Genomic DNA, 27,469 nt, shown 5'->3' on the forward strand with positions numbered 1-27,469 from the left:
TAAACAGAAACAGATCATCTGACTAGGCCTATATCTATTAAAGAAATGGAATGAATACTTGATATCCTACCAAAACACCAGAAAGAGTTCACTTGTGAACTCTATCAAACATTTAAGGAAGAAATTATGCCAATTCTCCACAATCTTCTACAAGATAGAAGAGTAGGAACTACTTCCTAACTTAGTCTATGAGGCCAATGTCCCCTTAATACCAAAACCAAAGACACTACAAACAAGTACAAACCAGTATCTCCCATAAACACATACACAAAAATCCGCAACATCAGCAATATCAGCAAATCAAATCCTACAATGTATAAAAAGAATTATGCAACTATTACCAAGTGGATTTTATTCTAGGTATGCAAGAATGATTCAACATTTGAAAATTAATGTACTCCATCATAACAGGCTAATTTAAAATAATCAATCAATCAATATAAATTGATACACAAAAAACATCTAACAAAATCCAACACAGATTCACGATAAAAAACCCTTAGCAAACTAGGAATAAATGGAAACTTTCTCAGCTTGATAAAGAGCATCTACAAAAACAGTTACAGCTAACATCACACTTAATGGTGAGAAACGAGATGCTTTTCCTACTAAAATCAGAAACAAAGCAAAAATGTCCCCTCTCATTGCTTCTTTTTAACATTGTTCTGGAATTCTTAGCTAATGCAATAAGACAGAAAAAGGAAATAACAGGTATATTGATTGGGAAAGAAGAAATAAAACTCTTTGTTCACAAATGACCTGTCTGTAGAAAATCTCAAAGAATTAGCAACAAAACTACTGGAAGTAATAAGCAATTGTAGCAAGATTGCAAATTACAAGGTTAATATACAAAAGTCAACCACTTTCTTATAAACCAACAATGAACAAGTGTAATCAAAAACACAATATAATTTACATTAGCACTGCCGAAAGAAATACTTAGATGTATATCTAACAAAACATGTACGAGAGAAAAACTACAAAAGTCTGATGAAAGAAATCAAAGGAGATCTAAATAAATGAAGAGATATTCCACATATATGGATAGAAAGCTCAATATTGTCAAGATGTCAGTTCTTCCTAACGATCTATAAATTTAATACATTCCTAGTTGAAAGAACAAACAAGTGGAGCACAGGGGAATGGTATGGCACTGAAGCTATTCTGTGCAATACTGTAATGGTAGATATGTCACTTCACTACATATTTGTCAAAACACACAGAATGTACAACAAAGCATGAAGCCTAATGTAAACTAAGCACTTGAGTTAATAATCATTATGTATCAATAATGACTCATCAATTCTACCAAATGTACCACAGTGATGCAAGATGTTAATAATAGGGGAATGGGTAAATGGGTATACGAGGAGTCTGTATACTTTCTACTCATTTTTGGGACTAAAATTGCTCCAAAAATGATTTTTTTTAAAAGTAAAAGGACTACAAAATAAGAATTATTCTCAGCATAATTTAGATAACTTAGTTTTAATAAAGTCCAATAGTATTCTTAAAGATATGAGGTCTCCTGATTTTATATTTACTTTTCTCTGGTTATCAGGCATATATAGGTTTTTTAGTTGTAGTAATATACACAAAAATCTAGTAAACACAAAATTTACTATTTTAACCATTTTTAAGTCCATATGTTCTTATATATAATAGGTACTAAGTTATTAATGTCCCCTTAAGATTATCGGAGTGGTTTACTTGTCTTGATAGAAATGTACCAAAAATGAACCTTCTCCAAAATACTGTATGATTTCAGAAATTCCAGTATAATTGGAGCCAGCCTGGGAAATCTGTGCCACTGAACTACCAAGGTTGCTCTGGGGTGATCCAATAAGTAGAAAGACAGTATCAGACAGATGGCTACCTTAGAAGACAGTTATCATCTAGCACCAGTTAGAATGATGATCATTAAAAAGTAAGGAAACAACAAATGCTGGAGAGGATGTGGAGAAATAGGAATGCTTTTACACTGTTGGGAGTGTAAATTTGTTCAACCGTTGTGGAAGACAGTGATTCCTCAAGGATCTAGAACCAGAAATACCATTTGGCCCAGCAATCCCATTACTGGGTATATACCCAAAGGATTATAAATCATTCTACTATAAAGACACATGCACATGTATGTTTACTGCGGCACTATTCACAATAGCAAAGACTTAGAACCAACCCAAATGCCCATCAATGATAGACTGGATAAAGAAAACGTGGCATTATACACCATGGAATACTATGCAGCCATAAAAAAGGATGAGTTCATGTCCTTTGCTGGCACATAGATGAAGCTGGAAACCATCATTCTCAGCAAACTAACACAAGAACAGAAAATCAAACACCACATGTTCTCACTCATAAGTGGGAGTTGAATAATAAGAACACATGGACACAGGGAGGTGAACATCACACACTGGGGCCTGTTGGGGGGTGGAGGCCTAGGGGAGGGATAGCATTAGGAGAAATACCTAATGTAGATGATGGGTTGATGGGTGCTGCAAACCACCATGGCACATGTATACCTATGTAACAAAACTGCACGTTCTGCACATGTACCCCAGAACTTAAAGTATAATAAATAAATAAATAGGTAGATAGGTAGGTAGGTAAGTAGGTAGGTAGGTAGGTAGGTAGGTAGAGACAGTGATTCATGAACTGGTGGGAAATTCTAAATAGGATACAGGTAGTGACTCTATGAAGGACTGAAGACAATTTCTGAAAACAGGAAGTTGATTTTTTTAAAAATCAGAGCACAGCTTAGAAAAGATTATTAGGTTTTGTGCTCCCAGAAAAAAAAAATGACTAGCTCAGGGAAATTATGTGAAATTATTCTAAATACCAAAGAAAGCAATTTAAAATTTAAATTTAAAGACAGATCTTTGTTCGGACAAAAAGAACCTTATTTCCCCTGGGACTGAGGGAAGTAAATAGCAGCTAAGATGAGAAAGAGAAAATAACATATTAGGACCCAAGAAAAAAAGGGACCCAAAAGAATATGATTAAAGAAGAAAACAGCCAAATTAGGCACAAAAAGTGAGCTGCAGGTGTAAAAAATATTTTAAAGGAGGCTGGTCAAGACAAATTAAATAATGCCTAATTATATACAATTGCAAATTATCTTTTAAATATAATTTGCACATTGAGAGGTTACATTGTGTGAACATTTTACATTGACTCTAGAAATTTGGCTTCCCAGGTATCAGCATTACTACAGAAGATAAATGAAAATAAAAGCCTATAAAACCTGGATTATTTCAGAAATATCAAAAAGCAGATTGCATTACCTGCAGTGGAAATGTATTCTAATTAAAAAATTTTTCTTAATCTGCATTTTGATAGTTAAGAAAAAATGATTTACCCGTAACTGTTACAAAAAAGTAATATTTTCTTCCCTGGAAGTCTGGTGGCAAAGTAGCTAAAAATGTCTTAGAGATGTTCTCCAGAGATGATTAATCTGAAAAAGAAAGTGGGAGCTCTAATAATGATGAGTAACAGTTACAATAGAAGACAGTCTCTTCTAACCCATTCACATACTTTCTTGCAAAACCTTGTCAAGGTTAAATGCATTCATCCAAAAAATGTTTGAGATGCTACTGTGTATAAAGGCTGTGCTAGGACATGCAGGAAAACAAATGTTGAATAAAACAGTCTATGGTTACAGTCAAAGAGAGAAAAAAAAACCATTTATTAAAAAGAAAGGTAGGAATTATAAGAAATGTACAAACAGTTCTATATCCAAGTCAAAAGGAAAGAGTGGGAGGAACCTAAAAAGAAGAGACAGGAACTGCATGGTTCATTAATTCTACACATATTTACATGTCTGATATGCACCTAGTACTGTTCTATCAGAGCTACGACAAGGGAGAGGTGAGTGAGGAATTCTGAGAGTCTGGGCACTGAATTAAACAAGGTATTACACATGTTAAATGTGTAGCAATTAATCAAGTTTCTTTCTTTCTTATGTTATCAAGTAGGCATCTTATGGATATGCAGAAATCAAAACACATTGAAAGCTCACCATTTTTTTTTGTTTCGAATCCCAGGAATTAAGCTCAGAAGTCAATTCTTTCTCTGCTTTTCTATGACTTTGCACATTTTTGCTAGCAGATGGATTTTTATCGCAAGTAGCAGTATTCACATCTTTTGACAATATGTATTTCTTCCTATATATCAGCGATTCTTCAATTGTCTTATTTAGGAGAACCGATTTAAAAGTAGTTTCAGATTCAACAGGCCAATCACTCTGCTTGGCATTTTCAGTATTTTTCTGCCCTGAATATTTAGGATGATTTTGTTGCTGATTGTGTTTCTTGCAAACTTCTACTTCTGCTTTATCTATTTTGATATGGTCGGTTTGTTCTTTCTTATATTTCACTTTTCCTGTTCCTTCAGAATTATGATCAGATATTGAAGAGGATGATTTTTGTTTAGTAAGTTTTTTATTTATAACAATATCTATTGGGGAAAATGAGAAATTAATTCTTTTTAAATTAATAAGTTGACATATGTAAAATTTGTTAAATTTGTTTTAATACTTGTTAGACATTTGAGGAAATTAACACTGAACTATTACATATAGATAAAACTAAGTTTCACCTTGATTCAATGTGTCTCCTGACGAAGTACTTGCTCTTTGGTTATTACATAGTTCAATGTTTGTTACAGGTGTCCAACATGCCCATTTGCTGTGTATTTTATTTCCACAGATGTTGTCTAAAACACCAGGTAATCTAGAAAATAAATTAATTTGCTTAATGTTACAAAACATTAGCCTGTGACTTTAAGACCTTGATTTTTAATGTAGTCAACGTTTACTGAAAGCGATTACTTATGTGAAAATTATGTGGAAATTTATCTTATCTTACAGTTCTACTGTATATTTATATTTCTACACATTAATTAATTTCTACATATTGTTATATTTCTACACATTCATTGTTTATACATTTTAAAAATCTCATTCATTTTAAGTCTCTCCACTTGAAAAGAGTTATATTGGACCACATGGGGAAAAAACCATATACATAATTCCCCATTGTGCTGTCATAACACTTGAGAGATGATTAATACTAATTCTAATCATATACAGTCCTTTTCCTCCAAATCTGTTACATTCACTGAAAACAGCATTAGTATAGACTAAATGATTTGATGGTTTTCTCATACTTACATAGTATGATCTCTTTTTTCCGCTGCCTGTGAATCTGGTATAACATCCTGGAGTTCACCTAAATAAAACAAATATTATAATATTTTCATTTTTTTCATGCAGTTGGCAGGGGGATAGGGAGGTTAGTATAGAAATCTATAAAGGTTCACATATTGGGATGAACGGATTGATCGATTTTGCATCCTCTCTCTTAAACCCAAACTTCTGGGGAACAAAGGTGGTATATTTCCTTGTAACCTCAAAAATTCCTTGCACAAAGTCAAACAAATTCTTTGTAAATCTTTTTCAAATCAATGAAAGCCAGTGGGGTTAAATGGTAATACAGGGAGAAGTATATACATTTTCTTAAAAAAATGACTAAATTAAACCACAAGGTACTTACTAAAATTTTGGTTTGGGAATTCAACATTCTTATTTTCTGTGTTTTCTACACACTTAGCAGTTTTGATATGCTGTAAACACAGGAAACAGGTTAACGTAAACTTAAGATGTTATATGAAAACCTAAATGTTACAGTATTAAGGTTTGAGTCTTTTAAAACAAATCTGCCTTGATATGAAAAGTTGGATACTATTTTTATATATTTCATAAACGTTATGCCCGTTTTTGAATATTCCCTATCCTGAAACACAAGAAGAAAACTGTCACTGCAGACGAGGCAGAATATTGCATAAATTTTCTGATCACATCCATAGCTAGCATAATAATTCAGTTTTCATCTGTAACTGACAATTTCTAGACTCTCCATGAGGAATCTCTCCTGCTGCTGTTGATTACATAGCCTGCTTTATCTATTTTGATATGGTCCATTCTTTCTTTCTTATATTTCACTTTTCCTGTTTCTTCAGAATTATCATCAGATATCGAAGAGGACGATTTTTGTTTAGCTAAGTTTTTTATTTATAACAATATCTATTGCATTACCCAGGTAACTTCTTTCCTACAGCAAGCTTCCCTATTTCCATAGCCAAAGATAACACTTAATCCAGATCAAATACAAATCTGCCACTATTATCAGAAAAATATTCCCTTTAGTCTAAGCTATTTTGCCTCATCCTGGCTGCCTTTCCTTCTTACTCTAGCCAGTGATTCTCCACACTAGGAGGGGAACATTATGGAAATATGCAGGTGTGGTTTGGGTTGTCACAATGACAGAGGGGTTCTCCTGACAATAGGTAAGCACAATCCTAGCTAGGATGCTTATCATCCTACAACATTTAGGACCATGTCGCACAACTGAAAAATAATCCCCTTATTAAGAAACACTTAGACAACTTGAACCATTACTTTGACTATTTTCTTTTAATATCTTCAACTCTCATACCCTTTATCTTTCTACCACATACCCATTTAAATTAAAAAAATAGAATCCATCATCTGTTCTCATCTTACTATTAACACCAAGACTACTAAGCTTTGAGAAAATTGTACATATTTATGAACATATTTATGCTATAAAATTCATAGTCATATTTAAACTGGGTCAACATTGTCTAACACTTATTCTTAGGCCTCTCCATTACCTTGCACATAGCTTTACATGTCCCTGAACCCTGTACTTCAACAGATCTCCAGGAGAAACTCACCATCTTCACACTTCAGAAAAAACAAAAGCTATTAGATGTTCCTCCTTTACAAGCTTATCTGCATCGCTGATCACCTCCTGTTTCTCCAAGAAACTATTCTCTCTTATCCATTCCTGCTTTGTCTTTTCAACTACCTGGAACAAATGCCCTTCTCCTCAATATCCATTTGACTCTTTATTGACCTTTCAAAAGTCAATTCATTCTCCATATTTTCTTAAAAAGCATCTCCTGATCTTCACCCTCACCTCTAGCTATGGGGTTAGGCACTTGACCCTCTAACTTGGTTCCTACTGCATCCTATATGTGTAAATCTGAGAATGCTTATGTAACTTAGTATCTAATTTTCATGCTAAATTTTGAGAAACTTAAGGACACAGTCCACTTGTACTTCGCATTCCTATACCAGAGTCTTCCCCATAGTAGTCACCAATTTGTATAATCAACTAAATAATTATGGCAGGTTCATTTATGCTCCCAAATGTGTAAATCAAGTTATAGTGAATTAATATTCATAACTTTTATTGTAAGCACAGTAAATGAGTCATATGCCAGAAGGACCCTACTTTCAAGGGCAATAAATATTTAGGGGAAAAAAGGTAATGCTTTAAACAAAATGAGACACTTGCAGCTTGCAAAAGGAGTTAGCTCAATACATATTTCCACAATTACTTGAAAAAATATTTTTAAAATACTTTCAAGGTAAAGTTACTTTGTCTATATTATCTCTTCTATGTCTTCCTTCTGATGATCTAGATTTCAGTGATGCAGCATTATCCACTCTATTTTCTGATGTTTGAGAAACACTAGGTTTCTCTGCAGAGCTCGTCATTTGCAGTGGTGGTTTAATTCTTCTTCTTCGTGGTGGTATTGCTAAAAAGGAGGACAAGGATTGCAGATTTTTCTTTTTTTACCTATTGCTATTATTGAGGTACTTTTCCAATGAGAAAGGTAAGAAACGAACATTCTTAGATGGTTCCCAGGTTTCTGGCTTAGATAATTAAGTGAATATAGATGCCATCTACCAAGATAATAAGTGAAGGAAAAATTTGCAGGAAGGGTGGAAAGATTAATTTAATTTTGGACCTATTACATTTGGGGAGCCTGTCAGATACTAAGCAATTGGCCAGTAGGCAACAAGATTTTTAGAACAGAAGGTCAATGTTAAGTTGTCATATAGACTAAGACTTTAACTAGTACACAGTATCAGGTTTTTTAAAACTTTTATTTAGCTCTTAGTATGTATCAGGCACTGTTTAAAGTTTCACTAGGTAACTTATTAAATGAGTGATTTTTATTTAATCCTCTAAACAACTTGATAAGATAGATACTTAAGTGCCACTTATAGAAAAAAAAACTGGTTCTAAATTTAGCTAGAGGATATCTGTACAAAGTACACAGCTGGAAGTGGGGAGCTAAGTCCACCTGGCCTGGTTAATTCAGTGTTTTAACCAGTAAGATATGCTGTGTCCTGCTTAAATTATAATAAATTATTAATGTCGAATATTAGTATTTTCAACACTGTTCTGTTCATATGTTAGCATTATACTTTTCTTCCCATTAGAAGACATTTGTGGTTCATATTTTATCAATTTTTATACACCAAACTTATCCTTTATGTAAATTATGTTCAGAATTGCCTTAAATTAAAAAATGCCTCCTTTAAAATAATTGTTAGAAATCTTTTAAAACTATAAAACTTACATGTGTTGCTGAAAAGCACTGGACTTCTCATAGTGTATCTATCTGCACCAGAAACAATCATTGATGCTTCAGACATTTTTCTTTTGCTAGGAGTAGTTTTCTGAAACCACGATGAAAAACAACCACTGTAAACACAGTCTTTTTGAAATTAAATATCCTACAATTTTACTTATAACATTTTGCCTTGATACATGCCAAAGATATATGTTTTTTAAATAAACAACACAATATTCATAAATTTCCATGTTTTAGGCTGATATGAAAGGTTCATCTTCATGTTTGGTATTAAATAAGTAGCTAAAACAAGTAAGGAACATTGTTTTAAAGAATATTTATAGAATATCCATGCCTATGAAGTACAGTACCTTTATATGCTAGCTGAAAATATTTTATCAATATTGAGTTTATCTAGTTAACCATAGCTTGCAATTTCCTATTCTATATCATGAGGATAATGTTTGGATTACATATTTATATGAAATTATTTTGAGTGCTTTCATGTTAAGCTTTCTTCAAAACATTCACACATTTTTGAAAATTGTACTAATAATCTGTGAAGACTAAACTGGAGTGAAGTAGCTGCAGGAATTCATAGATTCAGTGGCACATAATCTAGTGGTTCCAATAAAGATTTGTTTTCTCCCATATCATCTCACACTAATTTATAAGAGGGACAGAAGTAGATAAGCAGAGGCAGGGACTACAAGAGACAGGAGTTTCAGAGGATGCCATATTAAGAAGTAGATGGTGACATACTGCATAGAGGCATAAAAGAGCTGGTTTTAAGGCACCTGTCCCTAGAACAGGGGAAAAAATGATACAGTTGTGAGTGGGTATGTATATGAAACGTGAGGGAAGGATGGAAAGGATAAGATAAAAGAAAATTCTAAGATTAACTAGAAAACAAGCTTCTGAGCCAACAGATTTTTCTTAGAGAAATTAAGTTTTTAGTGGCATAGTGAATGGAACCTGAACAGTTACTTATTCATATAAATGCCTCAAACAGTTCATCCTTATTGAAAACAGAGCACAGGTATTTAACAGTAGTATGGTGTTTTTCGAACTTTGGTGTGCTTAAGACCTTTCCAAGAGTTTAAGATTCAACAGATTTAAGGTGGGGCTAAGAATCAGCATTGTTAATAAGCACCCAACATGATTCTGATATAAAGACACCAAAAATAGCTTTCATGTGCTAATTATCTCGGGGAAATAAATGACACTTTTAATTGAGAACAAAAGACTAAAAAACAAAATAGTAACATAAACATGCCAAAATATATGGAAGTGCCTGTGAGAGTTATAGTTACGTAAAGGTGAGAGATTAGTAAAAACTGAAATAATCAGGCAAAGCTCCACGAAGAAATCAAAAAATGGGCCGGGTGCAGTGGCTCATGCCTGTAATCCCAGCACTTTGGGAGGCCGAGAAGGGCAGATCACCTGAGGTCAGGAGTTCGAGACCAGCCTGGCTAACAAGGAAACCCTGTCTCTACTAAAACAACAACAACAAACAAAAACAAAAACAAAAATTAGCCAGGTGTGGTGGCAGGTGCCTATAATCCCAGCTCCTTGGGAATCTGAGGCAGGAGAATCACTTGAACCCAAGAAGCAGAGGTTCTGGGAGGCGGAGGTTGCAGTGAGCCGAGATTGCACCACTGCACTCCAGCCTGTGTGACAGAACGAGACTCCATCTCAAAAATTAAATAAAAAGAAAGAAAGTGGAAGACAGTGTGGTGATTCCTCAAGGATCTAGAACCAGAAATACCATTTGACTCAGCAAATCCCATTACTGGGTATATACCGAAAGGATTATAAATCATTCTAACATAAAGACACATGCACAGGTATGTTTATTGCAGCATTATTCACAATAGCAAAGACTTAGAACCAACCCAAATGCCCATCAATGATAGACTGGATAAAGAAAATGTGGCACATATACATCATGGAATACTATGCAGCCATAAAAAGGATGAGTTCATGTCTTTTGCTGGCACATGGATGAAGCTGGAAACCATCATTCTCAGCAAACTAACACAAGAACAGAAAACCAAACACCCCATGTTCTCACTCATAAGTGGGAGTTAAGAACACATGAACACAGGGAGAAGAACATCACACACTGGGACCTGTTGCGGGGTGGGGGCCTAGGGGAGGGATAACATTAGGAGAAATACCTAATGTAGATGACAGGTTGATGGGTGCAGCAAACCACCCTGGCACGTGTATACCTATGTAACAAACTTGCATGTTCTGCACATGTATCCCAGAACTTAAATAAAAGACTTCCTACAAAAAAAAGATATGTAAAATGTTTTAAAAAGGAAAGCAAAAAAAGAGAAAGTGAAAATGAACAAGACTTGCAAATCTAAGTATGCTTTAGATGGGTAAAGGTAAAAAAATAAATAATGTTAATGAAGATCTAGAGGCATGAATGAACATGGCATGCAAAGAGACAGTAAAGCAAACTACCTTACAAAAGGGGAGAATACATACTACAGTTTTAATAGAAAAGGTAAAATTAAATTATAGAAAGTCTCAGAACTGAGCCAAAATTTATTCAGTCAGTGGGATGAACACAGAAATCACAAAACTTTTGGAGTAGAAGAATGCTATCAAGATACTGATATTTAAGGAAAATCGCTGATTTTTCAGGTATCTCATAGGATAAAACAGTGGTGACAAAGTCCTACGAGGAGGCTACTGTATTAACCTAAGTGTGCTGAGATGAGTAATGGCAGATGAAACAAGAAAGAATGGATGTGAGACACAGATACTATGAAAGAATAATCACAAGCACCTTGGTTCCAGATATAAGGGGAGAAGAGGCTGAAATAAAGCATATTGCCAAAAAAAATGAACAGTAGTATTACTGAAATACAGACAGATGCAGATTTTAGTCAAAAGATAAAATGTTTGAGCTTAGACTTCAGGAAAGGTCTTGGAGAGACATACAAATGGAAATACAGAAAAACAAGTAGAGATGCAGCTATAGAATTTTGAAGAAAAGTCTGCTACATTTTAAGAGCTCACATTATGAACATGAAGGAAGCTCTCTAAGAAAGAAGGCAACAAGATGTTCCAAAAGCTGGATATCAAGGTTTTGGGTTTAGAGCAAACCTACCAAGAGGTATGGAGAGAAAGTTTTTCTAATGTAGTAATAGAAGCAGAAAGGGAACCGTGGTATACAATGGAAGCTGAAGGAGCGGACCTTAAGAAACAGGGGGCTATCGACAATGTCAAGTGTCACAGCAAGGTATGGTGGTAGGGGTTCCATTTATGAGAAATTATTCTCTTGGATGTGACCTAGAGGAGGTCCTTCAATGGAAAAGAAAAGGAGTAAAAGAAAGAACCTCATACTTTTTTTTTTCCTCATGCAAATAAACAGAACATTATACATTTCTATTCTACATTATAGCCAAATGCAATTATAGAACAAAAAGGATACATTCAAGAAGGTTATCTTATCTATCTCTAATCTGCAATTTACAACTGTAAAGTATGTCTTGTTCTAACCCCTATACATGTACACAATTTGCTAAGACACACACTATCTTTTGTTTGCATTTGTCAAAGGTAGGAGAAACACTCTGAAATGTGATTGATCAAGGCCAATAATATATAAATTCTAGATGCTTCTTTCAGTACTCATATATAACAGTGATTTGATCAATGGTAGTTTTATAAGCCAGTATTTTGACACCATCTTTACCTCAAGCTGACTATTATTTCTATTCCCTTTGTCACTGTTTTTGATATATTTTGAAGGTTTAGCAAATTCCTTTGGGGACTTTGATTTTTCCTTTAAACTAACGAGCTCTTCTCCGACTGGTGAGATTTGACTTTCTGGCACTAGAATCTGTTGGAGAATATGAAAAAAAAAGTATTTAAAACTGCAAACCACAGAAAGTAATCAACAATCACTGGATGTCTTAAGCTCCTACTCATCTCACATATTCAATTATTTCCCTTTTCTATCCATGTGCTGTTATAATTTTTACAAAGTGATCCAATAAAAAGTATCCATTTTTTCAAACTCTAATAGACATAAAAGAAGCTTGACATTAATGGAAGGACATTTACTGCTTTTTTAAAGTTTTAAAGTTACTAAACTGATATTTATTAATAACCCTACTCTTTACACTAAAATTATCATTAATAACATGTTTAAACATCATATACATTTTATTGGGGTACTGTTTATATTGAGACCATTTGTTTTCTATATATTCACCCTCCAACAACACCTTTATTACTGTTCCATTAGTTATGGTTAAACTTAGCCCAGTGATAAAAATCAAGTAAGTCTGAGACATACCTGTGATCCACTTGCGTCAAAAAGTATATGCAGCGACGTTTTGGCAACTGAAATACCTTGTTTTCTGATAGATTCCTAAAATTAAATCAATTCACAGTGATGACATTTTCTTCATTTTCTTTCCACTTTTTCATATGTCATTTTATTTCCATTTAATGTAATTATTTCCTGTTTTCTTCCAAAATTGCCAAATATCCCAAATTATTACTTTGCATATATGAATACCTTCTCAGAACACTTCAATTACTCCCCTTTAACCAGTCACCTTAGCTTGTCATTTGTGAGGAACAAGGGTTCCTCACAAATACATCTAATATTATGCAACATAAATCTTTTGCACTATTCAAATTTGTCAATTGAATATCTCCCCAAAACATCACATGAATTGTCACCTTAGATTCTCAGTTAAACAATATTTGGCTCATAATGTCTTCCACATGCCTGGAAAGTATTTTATCTAAATGCTTTCCTTCAACTTCAAAGGCCATTTCAAGTCCCATATCCATAACAATGCTAACCTCCAAACCTGACTCTTTATGAGCATTCTCTTTCTTCAATGTCTACAACTCATGTTCCCTATGCCATTATTTACTTCTTCTGATGTATCATGTGTGTAATTCTCACGATGTTTAAGATCTTGAAAACAGTGTTTTCTCTCATTTTACTTTTTAAACACCTGGCAGAAATTCATTAAATGTTTTGAGCAGCTGCTGCTAATTTTGTCATCTGAGATACTTTGTAATGGGTATCTCAATAGATATGACTAACAAGCTGATGACTCTTCAACAGTACAAATTTAAAGAACTAAAATCTACATTTTAAGAATTCTAGAAAGGAAAAAACGCAATAAAACTTATAACGCCAAACTGTTTCCAGAATTATGAAAATAGTAAATATTTATTAAGTTTAAAGACTTACCCTATGTTTAGTTGCACCAAAAATTTTTTGAGTTACATTAGTGATTTCTAGTGATGCGTCAAAATACAAAAGCAATTCTTTCCCTTCTCTTTTGCTAATTTTTACTGTATTTTTCAGAATTATTGTCAGTAGCTTCTTTGATTCTCTCACTGTATAGAAACAACACTGATTAGTTTACGTTTCTATGATACTACTCTGCAAGTATACTATAAATAAGACATGGATGTAGCAGATTAATTGAATCAAAATTCAAATTCTCAATATTGAACAGTGTTTAAATTAATCAATTCTGGCACTACTTACCTATGTAAATCAATCAAGTCAATTTAGCTTTCCTAGTCTCAGTGTTCTTATCTATAAAATACAGGATATGGCTATAACTAATAAGATAGAATCCTAAATACATTCTGGACTCTAACAAATTCTTAATAAAATATTCCTTGAACACATCTGAGAATACTATTTTCTTAATTTAAAAAAAGGCAAACAAAAACAATAACTTTAATTCCATATAATTACCATATTTCTAGACATACACATATAAACATTTCTATTAAATCCACAGTTGTTATAACATGCTGACAATAAACAACATTTGACAAAAATTAAGTGTCAGGAGATTGTGAGGTGAGAAGGATCTAGCACTTGGCCTCAATGAACTTACCAATCCAGTAAACAGAGAATACAGCAAGTACCAGCTTATAAGAAATAGTCACACTCTCCCTCCCTACAAAAGTTACCAAAAAATTACCTGGCCCCTAATAAATGCACCTGTATTATAGACCAGAGGCCACCATGCTCGTGTCCTACTTGTGGCAGGAATTCTATTGCTGAATGAAAAGTCTCCAACCCTGCCCACAATGTACTTTCGGGCAAGAGAAAAACACTCTGAAGGAGCAGGATCACACAAAGTAGGGAAATTTATCTCTACATCTGAAAAAGCTCTGCAGGCCACGCCATGATGTGGCCTAAGGGACAAATGTCCTATAGGCTATGAAATGTCCTGATTCTTATGAGGCCTGCCCAAGCAGAAAATGTTTTATTTGCTTTTGCAAATATATGCTCATAAAACTTTCACAGTAATGACCTTTGAAGGTACTAAGAATTAACAATTGCTTGAAAGTGGTAACCATAGTTTCAAACTCAAAGAGCGCTAGTAGTTTTTTAAAAGTTAAACAGTGACAAGTTTTCAGGTTTCAGAGATGCAAATTTAGGTGGCTTTAAAAATGATGTTTCATGTTTTGATGAAAATTAAAACATTTGTAATTCTTAGGTCTATTGCTGCTGATTGTTTTATTCCTCTGATATGCTTTTGACTTTTTTTCTATAGCTTACTGTAAATTATATTAAATGTAATATTTGCTTTAACTCCTTGCTTGCACATGGTATTAGAACTACTTCAAATTTATTATTTTGCTGAATGCTTTGTGCCTATTTGTACAAAAATTTGTCTACCTATGTTATGGCTACTTACATAGAAATTTATGAATATTTGTTATATTTTAATGATTGCTTTGTTGAAATTCCTGATATTTGCTCTGTCTGGACTATATAATGGCTTGGTTTCCTTTTTAATTAGTTAGTGTTACTGAGATACAAGAAAACTTTGTTTTGTTGCTTGCTATAAAATCCAAGTATTTATGGATATCAATATGTCAAGATTTTATAACATAAGAATGAATAGGAAGAGAAGGAAAGAGTAAAAACTATTCTCTCAAAATTAGCTATGAATGGGGAGAAAAAGATAGCTTCAGGAAGACATAGGATAAAAGTAGGCTTTTTGTTTTATGATGTAGACATTTGAGCCCATTGATATACTGAGAGAAAAGAGGTACTGAGAGAGAGGAGGAAGATACAAAAAATATGAACTGATGGAGCAAAGACTTGGAGAATGTGTGTGGAGAACTTGGAGAAATTACCCTTCAACAAGAGTAGACAAATATCTTCTGTTTACAGGAGAGATAAAGGAGGATACAGATACAAAGATGTTTGGAGACGGAGGGTCAAAATGTGTAAGTATTCTTACCTGAAAAATTCATGTTCTTCTGAATTACCACATCATAGTGAAAGCAAAAAAGGCAAGGTTAAGGATAACTTAAAAATTTAAATAGCAGCTGTTAGACAACTGGAGAGGGATGGCAACTATGGACATGGAAGACTGCCAAGTAGCAGTGAGAGTCCAAAGTTGGAAGCTGGAGACTTCCACTTCTGGGGAAAATGTAGGATATTGTGGCAGGCTAATATCCTGTTTTAAAAAATCAGAAGGATTAAAATATCATATGTTTAAAGGTGTCAGAGAGCTGTACATGTAACAAGATCTCTGGCCTTTTTTTCTCTAAGGAAATTTGCTAATTCTGTTTGTAGGCTTAAGAAGAGAACCTCTGCTGGAGAAAAGAAGACAAGCAAGTATTTAGTGAGCAGTAATGCCTGGAGTAACAAATAGGACACTTAAAAGCTTTAAAGGCATAACTAATTTTCCCTTCATTCTGGGGCAGCACAAGGAGCTGGACCAAACCTGATAAAAGGCAGTTAACTCTCTTATAGTCTCATGGGCTTGGAATCAATGTACTGCCTGATACAGGTATCATCCTCAGGCATATACTCAGTGTTCCGTTCAAAATATCTGCCAGATTTTGGACTGAGTAGAGTGAACGGCTCGAGAGCTGAGCTGGAAACCTCTAAGAGGCAGAACTGTATCTTCCACAGTCTCTCAGGTTCAGAAGACACAAATCTAATAGGCTCATCATCAACAGACTGGGATGGCCACACCTGAGTAATAGAGGCAAACAAGACAAAGAGTAAATTTAAAACTAGAACTAAACACAGACCAACATCCATGACTGGATCAGTCCTTCAGCCCCTCTGCCTAAGAAGAAAAAAGAAACTCTTCTGGTGGAAGGATTATCTGGAGCATCTATTGTTCCTGTATATGCATTATCTATCATAAAATTACTTGACATCCATAGAGGCAACAACATATGACTGATCGAGAGAGGAAACAACAGATCTTTTTAGAAGAAGACTATATTAGTCTGTATTAGTCTGCTATAATGGAACACCTGAGGGTGGGAAACTTATAAAAAAAGATTTATTTGGCTCATAGTTCTGCAGGCTGTACAGGAAGCATGGTGCCAGTATTTGCCTCTGATGAGGGACTCAGGAAGCTTTTAATCATTGCAGAAGGCAAAAGGGGAGTAGGCATATCACATGGCAAGAGAGGGAGCAAGAGAGAGATGGGAAAGTGCCATATAAATAACTAGCTTACCTGAATTAACAAGAGAAATTGTCACCATGAAATAATTATAGAAGAAAAAATAATCCCCTTCACCCTCAACACCAACATCATAAACTAAGCAAATATGTCTGCTCTTTTAATTTCTACTAACATTGTACTGAAAATTATATAGCCAGTGCAACAAGGCAAGATGGTAGGAGGGACTGACCATAAGAAGTGTTAGAAAGGATGTAGAACAAATGGAAGTCTTATAAACTGATAGTGAAAATATAAAACGGTAAAATCACTTTGGACAACACTTTAGAAGTTTCTTCAAAAGCTAATCATATGCCTATGGGTCTGAACTAACCACTGAACTTCTTAGTATTTACCTGAGAAATAAAAACATATTTTCAGAAGTAATTAATTATAAATGAATATTTACAGCAGCATTTCATAATAGCTAAAAACTGGGAACATTACAAATGCTCACTAACAGGTGACTACAGAAACCAGTTGAAGTATATCTATACAATGGACTAACACTCAGCAATAAAAAGAATAAACTACTGATACATGCAACATGCTTGAATCTTTTTTTAAAAAAGTGTTCTAAAAGAAAGAAGCTGGACAAAAATTGCTACGTACTGTATGATTCCATTTATATAAACTCTAGAAAATGTAAATGTATCAAAGAAAACATCAGTAATTGCCTGGGGGTAGAGTACAAGGATGGATAGATTAAAAGAAGTACAAAGAAATTTTGGGGGTGATATGTTTATTAACTTAATTGCCATGATGGTTTCATGTGCATAGACAAATATGAAGAGTTATCAACGTCCTTAATCTGATGAAGGTTATCTCTACAAAAGACTTTTGGCTAACATTATACTTAATGGTAAAATACTGAATGTTCTTTCCTAAGCAAAGATTGGGAAGTAGGCAAAGATGTCCACTTTTATCGCTTCTATTCAACATTGCACTGGAGGTTCTATACATTGCAATAAAGCAACAAAAGGAAAGGAGGGAGGGAGTGCATAAGGATCAGAAAGAAAGTAGTAAAACTACCTCTTTTGCAGATCCCATGACTGGTAAAATTAAAGATCAATTCTATTTATAAACATATAGACTGAATACTTGGGAACAAATTCATCAAAAGACTTATACAATGAAAACTATGAAACGCTGTTGAGAGAAATCAAAGACCTAAACAAATGGAGAGATACACCATGTTTATAAACTAGTTATGACTGTTAACATGTTATTTCTCCCCATATTGATCTAAAACCTGAGTCATAATTCCAGCAAGCAATTGATAAACCAATTCTAAAATTTATATAGAAGCTCAAAAGGCCTATAATTTCCAAAACAATATTTTAAAAAACCACAATGTTGGAAGACTTATACTGACTGACTTCAAGACTAACCACAAATCTACCATAATCAAAACAGTGTGGTACTGACATAAAGAAAAGTAGACCTATGATAAATAGAACAGATTGGAGGACCAAGAAATAGACACACTATTACAGAGTCATGATTTTCAACAAAGAAACCAAAGAAATCCAATGGAAAAGAAAAGCCTTTACAGCAAATAATCCCGTAATAACTGCATATCTATATGAAAAAATGAACCTCCAATCTCTGCATCATACCTTAATCAAATATTAATTTGAGATTATAATACTCCTAAACATAAAAGCTAAAACTATAAAATTTTTGTGGAAAAATAATAGAACATCTTAGTGATTTAAGAGTCGACAAAAATTTTTTGGGTCACGGAAAGCAATAACCATAAAAATAGATCAAGTAGATTTCAAAATTTAAAACTGCTCACCAGATATCATTAAGAAAATGAATAAGCAAGATACAATTTTGGAGAAAACATAGAACATATATATGTCAAAGGAGTGGAATCTAGGATACCTAAGAACTAGATAGTCCAATAAAAAATGAACAAAATATTTAAAATATATACTTTACAAAGGAAAATATATGAATGGCCAGAAAGCACATGAAAAAGTGCTCAGCATCACTAGTCATTGGAAAAATGCAAATAAAAAACATGAGATATTATTACATGTCTATTGAAATGATAAAATATGTCTTAATATCTAAATTTGTAATAGTACTAGTCTGATTTTGTCCACTAGCATTATGCAGTTCCAGTTATAGGATTGGAGAAACCAGATATTCAGATTTAATCAAGCAAATGGGATGGAAGGTCAGGAGCCTTAAACATAGAGACCAGAATGACAAACTGGATCACTGGTTTTAGACTAGACAGGGAAGGAGGTAAGTACAGGGGTAGAGCTGGGAGATTAGTAGGGAAACATGGGATCAAGGTGTTTGATGAATTTCTGAATGTGAACCTCTGAAAATATTGATTTTGCTTTCATTAGTCTGTTTTGTTAACCCAGAAAGGATGTAACATTTGTTCCATATGGTAAGAATTAAGAAAATTATTAGAAAAAAACAAGTTTAATACCTTCAATGCTGTATATTTGTACTTTTTCCTCTGGCACAGTAACTGCTTCCCATTGATGATCCTTAAATTTAAAAGCAGGTTTTGGCCATAAATAATTTATTTCTGATTTACAGTTTCTTTAAACATCAAATTTCAAGTTACAGGAACTATGAATTCTTTTTGCTAGTCACTAAGTAACTAGTTTATATAACACCTTTCTTGCTCCACCAATTAACTACATATTACACATGTTATATTTAATGTATTTGTTCATTATTAAAACGAAATGATGATTTTGACAATTTTCTATTCTTAACCAAAAAAAAGAATGACTGTTAATATTATATTTATTAGAGGATACCCTTTTTAAAAATGTTACCAAGTCTTTTTATGTTTTCTTTGAAATATTTTATGAAGTCATACTCATTCCTCAATTCCCACTCCTACTACCTATCCCAGGTCCTGTAACCACAATACTCATTAACTGATTGTCCTTTGATTTAAATATGAATGCGCATGAATAATAACCTAAAATGTTTGCCCCAAGTATTTTCACTGAAAATGTGTATAACTGAATGATACTGAATTCACAAAGTTATAGTAAAAATTAAATACCATTCCTGGCCAGGCACGGTGGCTCACGCCTGTAATCCCGGGACTTTGGGAGGCCAAGGCAGGCGGATCACGAGGTCAGGAGATGGAGAACATCCTGGCTAACACGGTGAAACCCCGTCTCTACTAAAAATACAAAAAAAAATTAGCCGGGCGTGGTGGTGGGCGCCTGTAGTTCCAGCTACTCAGGAGGCTGAGGCAGGAGAATGGCGTGAACCCGGGAGGCGGAGCTTGCAGTGAGCCAAGATCGCACCACTGCTCTCCAGCCTGGGCAACAGAGGGAGACTCCATCTCAAACAAAACAGAACAAAACACAAAACAAAACGAAAAAAAACTAAATACTTTTGTTATTTAAGGACAACTCATTCCCGAGAACTTCCTCTAAATCCTTACTATTTTCACCAATTCCCTTCTCTCCTATACCTTAATTGAAACCAGTCACACCCTGATGACATCACCACCTTTTTCCCTTACCTCAAAACCTCAGGATCAGGAGGAAAGGGACAGTATTCTAAGTTTTCCCCAAGGCTTTGAGCAGCCTCCTATTTCTGTGTGTAAAAAACTTGCTCCTTTGAGGAATATCTCAGTTGGCATACTCTATTCCCAATAATTGTTATCATCTACCAACTTAAAACTGATTCTTCCTTATATATCAAGGCACTTAGTTCACTTTTTAAAAAAACACACATAATGGCAATTTTCAAACAGATTTTTAATCAGAAATCATAGTATTATAAACCCAAAATATGCCCTTACCCAGATTCAACAGTTATCAGTATGTTGTAGCAATTTTGTTCCATTTTCACCTCCCACTCTCCATTATACTCCTTCCTCCTGACCTCAATTTTTTCCTTCAACCTCTCCCTATCTGCCCTTCACCATCAATTTATGAAAGCTCTTATCCTTAATATACCCAAAAAAACCCCTACATTGAATCCACATGTCACGCTCTTTCCTTAACTTGATGTCTTTACTTCCTTAACCGATATTTTAACTTTCTAGGAATGCCTAAACTCTTCACCATGTAAGTGAAACTGCTCTTTCATGGGTTACCAGTTTTTATTTAACCTCCCCTCTCAGGAATATTTCACTGTGTTGATCATTTCCTCTCATAAAACCTCCTTTCCTTTGTCGTCCGTAACACTATACCCTTTTAATTTGTTCCCTTTTGGCCGATTCTTCAAGTATCCTTCTGGCTAAAATCTCTTCTACTTATCCTGTAGAAATTTGTTTTTCATAGTTCTTTCATATAGGCACTCATTAAAACCCATGGTTCTGTCATTTATATACAGATAGCTTCTATATCTCTACTTACAGCTCAACTTCCATCCAGCTACCCAAATTTTAGTAATCCTTCTTTTTAAAAAATTACAAACAAATCACCAAGTTTGCTCAGTTCTGTCTCCTCTCAAGTCTTTCTGGATTCTATCAATTTCCATCCATGCCCATCGTTATATCTCAAAACCATCCCACAATTATTTCTCACCTGGATTATTGCAAAAGCCTCCTAACTGCCTCTAGTGTTTTTTCTTTTTATCCATTCTCCCCAGTCTATTTTTATCCATTTCCCCTACCAGGGGGGATCTTTTACACAAATGTGTTCTCCAGTGCCTAGTACATACGTGACACATAGTTCTCAATAGATATTCATTGAACTGATGTTACCTCCTACTTAAAATCCTCCTTTGGCTCCACACTTCCTATATTTTTGCAATCCCCTATGCCCTCTGTACATCTTTCAATTCTTTCAATGTTCCGTTTACTCATTCTTCCAACAAACATGAGCCACTGAATAGCTATAAACTAATCTTATACTCTATGCGGGAAAGCAGACAACAAACAACAAATAAACAAAATGATTTTAAATAATAACTACTATAAAGGAAATAAGACAATGTGGAATAATGTGGTTGTGAGGCTACTTTATATTGAGTAACCTGAGAATACTCTATGAGAAGGCAACATTTGTGCTTAAATCTAAATGGGAAGAACTAAGATGCAAGGACCTGGAGGAAGAGGTCTATGCAGAAGAACTAAGAAAGACCTAAGATGGGCATAATCTGTGTTAGAGAAATAGAAAAATAAATGTGACTGGAACACAGTCATCATAGAAAATATATGAAATATCAGAGAAACAGCCAGAGACCAGGCCACAAAAAGCCTTGTATGCCATGTCAGAGAGACAGAAGAAGGATTCAAGGAGCCACTGTGGAGAATGGCTTTTATGGAGAACAAGAGAGAATAAAGGGATAACATACTACAGCTACGGAAATTCAGAAGAGAGAGGATTCTAAATATAGTTTTGGAAAGAAGAGTCCCCCAGCATCTTGATCAGTGTCTGGAACACACTAGGCATTAAATACTTATAAATGCATTTTATACTTTCCCTATCATGTATACTGCTATAGTGTAATTGCTTATTTTTTTTTTTTTTTTTTTTTTTTTTGAGACAGTCTCCCACTGTCGCCCAGGCTGGAGTGCAGTGGCCCGATCTCGGCTCACTGCAAGCTCCGCTTCCTGGGTTCACGCCATTCTCCTGCCTCAACCTCCCGAGCAGCTGGGACTACAGGCGCCTGCCACCACGCCCAGCTTATTTTTGTATTTTTAGTAGAGGCGGGGTTTCACCATGTTTAACTGCTTATTTTCTTATCTCAATAATCCATTAGACCAAACTGAATAAAGGAACACTGCCCTATTTATTTCCTTTATAGTAGTTACTGCTATTTAATAACAATACTTTTCTCTTCTCCCAAAACGAAATTCTATTAGGCTGGTGCAAAAGTAATTGCAGTTTCTGCCACTGAAAGTAATGGCAAGAACCGCAATTACTTTTGCACCTGCCTAAGTAGCTCCTCGAAAAAAAATCAGCTTAAAACACTCCTACAAATCCTGCAGGAGAAATATACTAATGGAAACTGTCAGTGCCCCTGAGAAGCAGTGCTAGTCATTGGAACTCAATTTTAAGCATTCTAAGAAGGTACTTTAAAATAAAAAGCAATAAAGGCATGTGGAAATCCTAAAAGGCATTTGATTAATGTTCATCTATAAAATGTTTACCTGGAACAAATGGCAGGATTCTATAAGAAACAGACTAAAAAGACTAAAGCCTTATTATAATATCACCAGCCACAACCAGATTAGTAAATGCTGATCAACTCTTACTCAGATTTTGGCAAACGGACTGCATAATTTGAGCTAAATGTATGCAAATGTATCAAATACGAGGTGGTAGCTATTATGAAATAATGGCTCAAGGATTTTCCTCAGGTAAAAAATATGCAGGTCAGCAGAAAATATGCCACCTATTTGGAAGATCTGAGCACAGCTATGATAAAGCATAGGAAGAAAAAAACTAAAATTAACTCCCACTCAAGTCCTATTTCCAAAGAGAAGGTTTTATGAATGATTAAGTTAGGTCCACTTGTCACTGTCTGTTAATATTTTCAATAGAATGCCACTGTATTTGAGTAACTTCCCTTTTCTAAAGTCAATTCACTTTGTTTATGTGAATACAAAATTTTAACTGTCATAAATTAACATTTATTTTTTAAAAGCTTATGTTAAAAAATGAGCATTAAAACTCAGCATTATTTTTTCTTATACAATAAAACATCAGAAGTAGTTTTCATTTATAATTAGCTTGGTAGGTTGCTATGCTAATCAAACTACTAGAGCTAATATTAAAATCTAGGTAAAGACTGGCTAGAACATATAAAGAAATCCACATTCTTAAAGTAAGTAAAAATCTTATATATGCATATACATAAAGAATAATACCAACCAAATTAAACTTACATCATTATCTCCAGCAATGTAGAATGAGAGAGTCTGACTCCCAAGATTAAAATCAATCCAAAATTCCTCAAGTTTTTCATCTGATGGTATTTGCAGCTAATAAAATAAACATACAAAACTGGAATATACAATGATTTTAGAAATAACAGACAATTATGATGTTATATTCATGGCTAAAGCAAGAAAACAAAGCTAGAAGGAGAGAGAAGAGAAAGAACAGACAAGTATAATATTTAGATAAATTTAAAAACAATCAAATGAAATGCTACTTTAATATTTTATAAAAAATCAACTAGCTCCAAGAAATTATGAATATTCCAAGTGCTAATAAAGGTTGAAAGTACTAGTTTGAATAGATTCATACATGATAAATCAATAATGGTCTTAAGGAAACACGAGAAAAACTGGACTACAGCCTTTATTTTTCAGTTATTCTTGGCAATGAATATGCTGTTCCATAAAACTTCTCCTGGTTTCACTGTCAGATACAGAATACTAGACCAGCTACATTCATGATCTAATTACAACTATTTTTAGTGTTCTTATTCATTTTTAACTCATAATTCACTTGACTATCAAAATTCATGCAATAACTAAAATAATGTGTTAAATTAAAATTTTACCTCATATTTATCAAGAAATGCTGATAAACAAGGAAATGTAAAGACCCTGAAATAAAAAGTAGTTTAAGAAAAAAATAAATAAGCTTTCACAGCATAATCTTGTCCAGTAATAGAAATCATGCCTAGAATCAAAAGGAAATCAGGCAGTGGTCATAATAATTGAAATAAAATCATATTTCCCTCTTTAATACTTTTCAAAATACATGTTTAGTGGACATTTATGTAGAGAAAATCATATTACTTTGACAATACTACTCAATCTACCATTCTGACTAAAATGATTGCACCAAATGTTTTTGTGTGTGATATGGTTTGGTTCTGTGTCCCCACCCAAATCTCGTCTTGAATGGTACTGTCATAATTCCCATGTGTTGTGTGAGGGACCTGGTAGGAGATAACAGAATCATGAGGGCAGTTTCTCCCACACTGTTCTTGCGGTAGTGAGTAACTCTCACGAGATCTGATGGTTTTATCAGGGGTTTCCCCTTTTGCATCTTCCTCATTCTTTCTTTGCCTGCTGCTATCCACGTAAGATGGGACTTGCTCCTCCTTGCCTTCTGCCATGATAGTGAGGCTTCCCCAGCCACATGGAACTTTAAGTCCAATTAAATCTCTTTCTTTTTTAAATGTCTCAGTCTCCAGTATGTCTTTATCAGCAGTATTAAAACAGACTAATACAGTGTGCTATCAAATATGAGCAGAGTTTCCTAACTTAGCTTATTGTTTCCATAGAACTTAAATAAGAATACAAGTGAATAATTACATTAAAAATGGTTAAATTCACAGAATTCTTTCTTAGATACTATTTTACATAGTTAGCATATTATCTCATTTTAATCTATATCACAAACATATGAGGTAGTTATTAATATAACAGCTAAGGAAACTGAGGCATGTAAGGTTAAATAATTTGCCCAATATTAGAACAGGAAGAGAGGAACTTATGATTCAAATCAGGTAATATGACTCCTTGCACAACCCTTACAATACCGTTAATTTCTTTAGTAAGTAAAATAAATGTGAACTCATTCATCCAATAATTATGTTGAACATCTATGAGGTGCTAGGCATTGCAAATTCTGTTTTTCTGTCGTTATAAAAAAAAGATTAAAATTTATATTACACATCCTTTCATGCCCCTCAGAAAGATCCTACTTACTGTATGTTAATTATAAAGGAAGATGATTTGTTTGCTATATATTTACATTCCAGTATGTGGATGAAGGAGATGATTCAAGTAATAAATATGTCTAGATTTTTATTATCCCTCAAACATTAAATAATAATGGATATGCAACTCAGAAGTATAGTAAGCCAATTTTGAACATCTAAAGTTATTAATTAATATGAATTAAACAGAAATGAACTTTTCCCTCTAAAAAGTACAAAATAAAACAAGGCCAGTGCAGAATTATTTCAGATTACTGGTGTAGTAATTTGCTAAAATCATGTTATTGTTTTAAATTATCTATGCACATTCTACACTCCAACATAGTGTAGAGAACAAGAATAAAGTTAAATGTATAAAGATGCAACACTGGGTGCTCACTCTTGAGCTCTATTTATTTGACAGTAAATGGTTGTATCTTGCATTAAGTTTACCTTCTTTTGTCTCCAAGCATGCCATTTACAAGGTTGAGAAATATCCTGCAATCCTAATTTTAAAGAGAAATACTTTTAAAAATCATAATAATTTTTAAAAATTCACGAATTTCTGTTATTGTTATACAACTTACTGTTTCAAATTCAGAGTCCTTAATTCTTTTAAATGCCTTAGCAATAAAATCCATTGAAAACCACTGATGTGCCAGTTCTTGTCTTTGTTTTTCTGTGGTCATTCTACACAAAGCTTCTACAATGCCTACCTGTAAGTCATAATCTATTAAAAAAATAGTTAATGTTTGATTTACAATTATGAAAATTAAGTTTATAAAAGACCATATATTTTACAAGGTATTAGAATAAGCAAGAGAAATAAGAATATATTAATGTAATTGATTAATCTATTAATATTTTCTTCATATGGATTAGAAATATCTCATCATTTGAGGAATTAACACAGCCCAAATAACAAGTGTGCCAACAGAAGAAATAAGTAAAATTTAAAAAAATGTTGAGACTTCTAAATATTCAAAGACACTGCCATTTCATTATTATTAGAGATATAAAATGCAAAGTAACCCACACAGTTGTCTGTAAGTTACAAAGTCTGTTTTCCTCTTGTGTAACATGTTTACAGTTATCCCAGAGTACTTTAAACCATGATTTATTCTACATGTAAATCACCATATTAAAATTCATTCACAAAAAGCTTAGAAAATAAATTTTAAGTTATTTTAATAAACACATTGTTTAAAAACAAATCCATCAATATGAAGAATATTAGACACCCTAATTTCATAAAAAAATCTGAGGAATTTCTTAGCACAAGTAGTTCAGGTCTACTGAAAAATTAAGCCATTATATTAAGCTATTATATTAATCTATTAATTTAAGCTTTATTAATTAAGCTATTATATTAAGCTATTAAATTAAGCTATTAATTTAAGCTATTAAGCTATATTATTCATAAGTCTACCATTAGGCACAAATTGTATGTATCTAACGCCTACTGTCATAAATTATTTTTGTCCCAGACAAATTTCATGTATATTTATTAAAAATTGCTTAATTGTACATAATGTTTATAATTCCCTCAGTCTCACATTGCTATGCTAATATTTAAATTAAAAAGATACTATCTGCTATTCATAAATATGGAATAATTTTAGATTTGGAAAAGACATACTTACCTCCAGCATCTAAAATCCTTTCTCCCATACTACTCCTGTGAATTAAAATAACAGATTACAAAATAGACCAGTATCAATTAAATAGGAAGTCCACATGTTTAGGAGGAAAAGAAACTTCACAAAAATTTACAATTGGCTAATATCATCGACTTTTGCAGAAATTATATGCATACACTAAATTATATTAAAAAGCTGCAACAGTTTATCAGTTTCATTATTAATGCAAACTCATAGTTGTCTGTCTTATAAAACATTCTTATGGATTTTAAGAAT

At 33.5% G+C, this 27,469-nt stretch overlaps 1 protein-coding gene across 12 annotated transcripts in view; it reads right to left on the minus strand.

The window, feature by feature from the left end:
• The window catches only part of SYCP2 (synaptonemal complex protein 2), a 70,067-nt gene that overhangs the window by 24,398 nt on the left and 18,200 nt on the right, over positions 1–27,469 (minus strand). For all 12 annotated transcript variants that reach the window (XM_011528490.4, NM_014258.4, XM_017027587.2 and 9 more), the window contains 15 exons: positions 27,197–27,231; positions 26,141–26,283; positions 26,007–26,059; positions 24,405–24,450; positions 23,782–23,877; positions 19,396–19,456; positions 13,694–13,842; positions 12,776–12,850; positions 12,170–12,316; positions 8,461–8,560; positions 7,469–7,629; positions 5,556–5,625; positions 5,174–5,231; positions 4,600–4,733; positions 4,022–4,458 (listed from right to left, as the gene is read on the minus strand). In XM_011528490.4, the coding sequence (XP_011526792.1) occupies positions 4,022–4,458; positions 4,600–4,733; positions 5,174–5,231; positions 5,556–5,625; positions 7,469–7,629; positions 8,461–8,560; positions 12,170–12,316; positions 12,776–12,850; positions 13,694–13,842; positions 19,396–19,456; positions 23,782–23,877; positions 24,405–24,450; positions 26,007–26,059; positions 26,141–26,283; positions 27,197–27,231 (1,765 nt within the window). The remainder of the gene's footprint in view (positions 1–4,021; positions 4,459–4,599; positions 4,734–5,173; positions 5,232–5,555; positions 5,626–7,468; positions 7,630–8,460; positions 8,561–12,169; positions 12,317–12,775; positions 12,851–13,693; positions 13,843–19,395; positions 19,457–23,781; positions 23,878–24,404; positions 24,451–26,006; positions 26,060–26,140; positions 26,284–27,196; positions 27,232–27,469) is intronic.

Source organism: Homo sapiens, chromosome 20, assembly GCF_000001405.40.
Source record: "Homo sapiens chromosome 20, GRCh38.p14 Primary Assembly".
NCBI classification, from domain to species: Eukaryota; Metazoa; Chordata; class Mammalia; order Primates; family Hominidae; genus Homo; species Homo sapiens.